Source organism: Homo sapiens, chromosome 13 (genome assembly GCF_000001405.40).
Source record: "Homo sapiens chromosome 13, GRCh38.p14 Primary Assembly".
NCBI lineage: Eukaryota > Metazoa > Chordata > Mammalia > Primates > Hominidae > Homo > Homo sapiens.
This window is the reverse complement of record NC_000013.11, coordinates 99,381,658-99,387,657: the sequence shown is the minus strand read 5'-3', so window position 1 is coordinate 99,387,657 and position 6,000 is coordinate 99,381,658. Positions and strand designations below refer to the sequence as shown.

Here is a 6,000-nt window from a genome sequence, read left to right as displayed (position 1 = left end):
GAAGCCCAGTCAAGTGGCTCACTGGCGCCCTCCTCTGGCTGGGATGGCTCCGCAGGTCTTCCTTGGGGGTGCCATCGGCCTGAAAAAAGAGTCCCAGTGTCTTGACAAGAGGTGTGGAAGCTCTCAGGTATTCAAACTTCTGCGGGGAATGTCTGTGTAGATGTTTTTGTGTCAATATTTGCAGGAAGCAAGAGTGGGTGAGCAACGCGAACCCCAGTAAGACAGAAAACATGGTCAAGCGTGAAAAGGCAGGCGTGTTGTGTGTGTGTGTGTGTGTGTGTGTGTGTGTCCAGAGGGTGGTGATGGAGGGAGAGTGGCCTGGTAGTTGCATGACAAGGATGGAGAACCACGGGCCACCACTGCAAAGGCGAGGACTTGGCAGCTGTAAGGAACTGGGAAAGAGGCTGAAAGAACTAAAGAGAACAAACCAAGCCTGTAGTTGTCTCCCAGCTCTGCCACTATTTAGGTCCTCAATCCTCTACTCTCTAAACAACCAACATAGAGGGTCACTGAGGTTCCTGTGGGCAGGACAAAGGTCTCCAAAATACAATCTCATTCCAAAGGGAATCCTGATTAGCAAACACTCAAGAACAGCTGGCAAGTGTGAATCAAGGCCTCTAATTAGCTACTTGCAAAGGGGCTATTTGCTGCCCCCGTCTCCAAGGGATACCTTTGCCTCTGGTTTGGTTTTACTTGGCTAGGTGCTGTTTAAAGGGGTAGCATGGAGGAGGGGGTGTATTTTTGGGTGTTCTCTGCCTGTGCTCCTTTGCACGGGGAACACAGAGAGTGGATTTTGGTTTGCCTCAGAGGTCAGACACACACGGCTTTGCTCAGCACTCAGGAGGTGTTGACTGTGGCCTAGTTAGGGAATGAAGTCAGGGACATCTCCACCACCATCAACTGTTCCTTGCAACCCGAGATGGCGCAATTCAGATTCAAGGAGGGGCTTGTGCGTGGGACCAGCTGGGCTCCAAGAAAGTCACCTCGACCCCCCTCTGAGCAGCTAGTGGCCCCAGGCAGCCTCAGTGAGGCCGAGCTTCCAGGTTTGCACAGGTAATGCCACTGTGGGCAGTGCTACTTACAGGAACAAAAGCACTTCACTCACTTCAAATGAGCACCCAGTCGTCTGAAGAAAGACGAGCAGTGCGGAGGATTTGGTTGACTGGTAAATATGTATAGCCTGGAACAAGGCTTTATTTGTACAAGTCTGATAGAAAAATACTGAAGAGTAAAACACATTAAAAACTTTATTGTAAGTATCAACATCTAAATTTGCATCAATTTGATACATCGTTGCTCATTTTGCAGAACATAACAGTTGCACATTGCAAGAGTCAACTTGCTTCGGGTCTTTTCATGCTCATGGCGGTCCACCCCTGCCTTCCCTCTCCCTGACCTGCATCCTGTCCTCCACAGTCTGCCCTGCCTCCTGTCGCCACAGGTTGAAGACCCAAGCCCTGAGGAGAACCTGCTGCCAGGGGGCTGGCTGGCTGCGAGCCAGGAGGGCCAGGCAGTTAGCCCTGCCACAGGGAGGGGCAGGCAAGGGATCGTTTCTCCTCTTCCTGGGCTGAGCCCATGCCAGGCCAGCCACAGAGTGCCCTAGTCAGCCCATGTGGCTCCAGGAAGCCTGCTGTTGTTCTTCTCCATCCCATTTCACCCGCAGCCTAGTGGCTAACTCTGGATACTCTGAGCAAAATTAACCCAAGTTTCATGGAGAACTCCAGAACCTTGAACCAGTGCATGGTTATCACCATTCTTTGTTACTAGATGTAGGAGAAGGTACTGCAGAGTCCTCTGGCCTGGAACAGCTTGGGGGAGGATTCAGCTCCCTGTTTCTCCCTCACTCCCAGGAGATTCGAAAACAAGTTTGAGAGAAAAAACAGTAACTAAAAAAGTCCATGAAGAAGGATCTGACATGTCCTTTGTGAAGTAACATTACCCTCTCCCCATCACGACGCAGGAGATGACATGTTACAGTAAGAGGGTTACAGCAATTCCCCATCTGGAGTGCCATTCAACTGCCTGCAGAAATCTTCCATTTTAATGCATTTTAAACACATTCAAAACGAGTGCTGACTCTCCAACCTAGGGAAAATGCCCAATAAAAAATATAGATAGAAAATACATGCTAATGTAATGGCAAACTTATCTCCACACTAAAACGGCAACAGTCTTGCGGTTGAGGGCAGGGGTGCGGTGGAACCTCCCTCTTCCCACAAGAACATCAGCACCAGAGATGCTCGGTCCCCGGGCTGATCTGATGGTGGGGACCACGCACTGTCACTCGGCTGCCGGTCCGGTCCCAGTGTTGGCCTGGGACTATCAGTGCTGCAGCAGGAAGTTGGTGGCGACATTGAGGTCATTGTTTGAAGCTCTCAGGGCTTCCAAAGCATCACCTCTGGAAAATCCCATCTCCATGAGCCGGGCGACCTGCAGGCAGAGAAAACGCAGAAACCTGAGGGCGCTGACATTGCCGCTTATCCCTGGGCCCCAAATGTTCTTCATGTGAGCCTTGTGGCAAAGGTCAAAACTGTTTACAAAAAAACCAATTTTCATTTCAATATGGAATCTGATACTTAAAAGTTATACCAGGTACAAATTTTTCAATGTTCACTATGTGTAGCCAATATATATGCATGATCGCACATAACCCTCATTCTACAGACAAGGACACAGGGCTTCTGAGGGTAAAGTGGCCTACTGGGACCAGGCCTTGGAAGCAGGTCGGCATGAGCTGCCCAGGCTCACTGCGAGGACACACGACTCAGCGTCGTTTGATTCCCTATGGTGGTGACCCATGCTCAGCCCTGGCATCGCACTCCTGGCATCACTGCCACGCTCGGCCCTGGCATCACACTCCTGGCGTCACTGCCACGCTCAGCCCTGGCATCACACTCCTGGCGTCACTGCCACGCTCAGCCCTGGCATCACACTCCTGGCGTCACTGCCATGCTCGGCCCTGGCATCGCACTCCTGGCGTCACTGCCACAGAACTGCCTGCCTTTGGGTGCTCAGACTACTTTGACAGCTGTGCCACTTGCAGCCTGGGGCTTACGCAGGCAGCAAAGTGGGGCTGAGCCTGGGGCAGCAACTGAGGAAGGAGGCAGTGAAAGCCACCAGAAGCAGGGAGGAACAAGCATGCATTGTTTTTGACCACAAATCCTGATTCTGTGAATACGGAGATTTCCTGTACTTTTCTCTACAGGCAGTCTCCAGTATTGAAATTGGCAATGTTACTAAAGCTTATTTGCAACCTTTTTTCCCAATTAAGAATATATTACAAAAATATTCATGGCCCCAGATTGCCACAGGAATACATTTTTTTTGTACTTATATTAAAATAAACTGCACTTGCAGTAACACCTCATCAAAGTCAACAGTCTTGTACATGTTGAGTTTTTTAGCCACTTGCGCATTAAAGAGGCTTTTGTGGGTTCACCTGAGGACTTAGTCAGAGTTTCCAATTTTTCTTTCCGAAAGAGAGCGAGCTACTTGGTGCTACATGGTGGAAAGAGAAGGGGCCCAGTATCACCACCCCTTCCTCTGCTCAGGGGACTCAGTGGGTGTGAATGGGGACTATGGCATGGGGTGGCTGGAGGAGGGGCCGGGCATGGGCCTGGGCATGTGGCTCCAGAAAGCCTGCTGTTCTTCCTCTCTATCCCACTTCACCCGCAGCCTAGTGGCTAACTCTGGATATTCTGAGCAAAATTAACCTAAGGACTCAGCAAGGTGAGGAAGAAGGTGCAGAGAGTAGAGAGGCAGGTGGGGGAGGGAACCTCCCAGTGACCACCCAGGCCCAGACACCCAGACCCTCCTCCCCCAAAAGCCTTAGGGAAGAGTTGAGGGCCAACAGGGACACGCAGTGGACACTGCTCAGAAGCTGGAGTCCAGCCAGGGCTTTTCCAAACGGGGGGTGCCGCCCATGTCATGGGACCACTCAGTGGGTGAGGACTAGGCTTACAAATGCACGCAGTGAGCGTGCTCCTCCCCGGAACGTTGCTTTCAACCCTTAGCACGGGGACTGACGCACAGCCCTGGCTAGGAAGCCAAGAAGGGCTGCCAGGTGTCTTCCAAATGCCTTGCGGTGGGGAGGGCTGTCCTGGAGCAGCAAGATGCCCAGCACCTGGGACACTATGGCGCCCTCAGGTGATTCATGCTCAGCTGCCCAGGGCTGGTGGACAGCGTAGAGCAAAGGCAGAAACCTTCTAGTTTGTTTTCCCACCAGAGGAGAGAGTGTCGTAGATAAAAAAAACAAAAAACAAAAAACAGTAGCTAACAAAACTAGAATTGAAAAGAATTCATTTGGTTGGCTGGAAAATGATCAGATGGAATTTAACAGAGATATGTACTGTCCTAGACTTAAAAGGTCAGGCAGGATTTGAGAGACCTGACTCGAGAGCATTTTATGTGAAAATTCCTGAGTGTTTTCAGCAGGCCCAGCTTAACTGGCCACACCAGTGATGCAGCTCCTTACACAAGAGCGTGCACAGGCACACACACACACATGCACACTACTAATGCATCATATGCACATCAGCTGTGGCTGAGTGCCCTGGCCTCACTGCCAGGTGGCTGAGAATGCTGCCACCCTGGTGTTCTGCCCCTCACAAGCTGCCATCCACACAATGCCACAGCTCTTGATTTTGCCCTTTGAAGTAACCGAGAACAACCCTATTCTCTTTTCCTACATAAAGCACTTTGCGGGTGTGACAGCCCTCTCCTTCCTCCCTCAACCCACTGGCTTTTCTCGGCCCCCACCCAGGCCTGTGGGTACCGTGGCTTGTTCTGCTGTGTTGCTGTCTCTGCCCTCTGCCCTGAGCCTGATGACTCCTCTTCCCCTGGTGGGTCTTGGGGCCCCTGCCTTTTTCCATGTCTCCCAGACTAGAAGGCCCCCAGAGCGAAGTCCTCATTGCCCCACTGCCTTCTGTCCTGGGCTCCCTGCAGCTGTGTCTGTGGGGTGATAGCTTCTCCCCACCACTGTGAACTCCCAGTATGAGGGCTGTGGCTGCCTTTGCTCATTCCTGTGTTTCAGGATCCAGTTCCTTTCAGCCCATCCCCTCCCATTTGTGCACACCGTCTCAGAACACCGCGCCCAGAACTGAGTGTGACACCACGGGTGTGGTCTCACCAGGGCAGTGAGGCCACTGCCCTCCAACAGTCTGGGCCCTTAGCTTCAATGAGAGCAGAGGAATGCATTAGTAGTGTGCATATGTGTTGTGTGTGCCTGTGCATGCACTTGTGTAAGGAGCTGCATCACTGGTGTGGCCAGTTAAGCTGGGCCTGCTGAAAACACTCAGGAATTTTCACATAAAATGCTGTCAAGTCAGGTCTCTCAAATCCTACCTGACCTTTTAAGTCTAGGACTCTACATATCTCTGTTAAATTCCATCTGATCATTTTCCAGTCAACCAAAATGAATTATTTTCAATTCTCATTTTGTTATCTACTGTTAATCATCTCCCTCAAACTTGTATCATGCCTAAATTTGATTAGTAAACCTCTACAACTTTGTTCAAGTTATTATTGATGAAAATGTCAAACACGTCAGGTCAAAGAGCCCAGAACTCTGTGTTCAAGGGGTTAATCAACATTTTTAATCAGTTTCAAACCCACTTCATTGCACTATCATTATCCATTCTGCATGTCACCAACATCTCTCATAAGCTGATGAGATGTTGTCAAAGGTCTTGGTGATCTCTTGCCAACAGGATTGGTTTGGTGTCCTAGACCACAGCTGTCTTTTCAACGTTCACAAACCATCTATTTGATAATAATCTGTTTAAGCTTTTGCCAGATGTGAAACTTCAATTCTGCCACTTGGTTCTCAGAATTCACACTTTCCTTTTCCTTAGGAACATTTTCAAGCTAAGTGTTCCTCCCTGTGCTTTCTCAAGCCTCCATCAGGTTGTGCAGGGAGAGGGGCTGGAGGACTCAGGCTGGATATGTGTCATGTGGAAGGAAAACTCTCTCTGATCAAGGTGGTCTTTCCAATCTTGGGTG

The 6,000-nt window shown here is 50.3% G+C and overlaps 1 protein-coding gene across 7 annotated transcripts in view, besides 2 other annotated features; it reads right to left on the bottom strand.

Moving 5' to 3' along the window:
- Nucleotides 1-1,153: 1,153 nt before the first annotated feature.
- UBAC2 (UBA domain containing 2) overlaps nt 1,154-6,000 on the bottom strand; it is a 185,651-nt gene continuing 180,804 nt past the window's right edge. For all 7 annotated transcript variants that reach the window (NR_026644.2, NM_177967.4, XM_011521083.3 and 4 more), the window contains one exon: nt 1,154-2,430. Coding sequence is in view for 6 of the 7 variants with exons in the window: in NM_177967.4 (NP_808882.1) it covers nt 2,323-2,430 (108 nt within the window). In the remaining variant the exon portion in view is untranslated. The remainder of the gene's footprint in view (nt 2,431-6,000) is intronic.
- Nucleotides 1,683-2,301: an enhancer, noted in NCBI's record as "H3K4me1 hESC enhancer chr13:100037611-100038229 (GRCh37/hg19 assembly coordinates)". NCBI's record gives its function as "activates a minimal SCP1, AML or CMV promoter by ChIP-STARR-seq in primed H9 embryonic stem cells {active_cell/tissue: H9 hESC(primed)}" and the evidence as "EXISTENCE:reporter gene assay evidence [ECO:0000049][PMID:30033119]".
- Nucleotides 4,029-4,323: a silencer, noted in NCBI's record as "tiled region #8816; K562 Repressive non-DNase unmatched - State 23:Low". NCBI's record gives its function as "represses a minimal TATA promoter and a strong SV40 promoter by Sharpr-MPRA in K562 cells {active_cell/tissue: K562}" and the evidence as "EXISTENCE:reporter gene assay evidence [ECO:0000049][PMID:27701403]".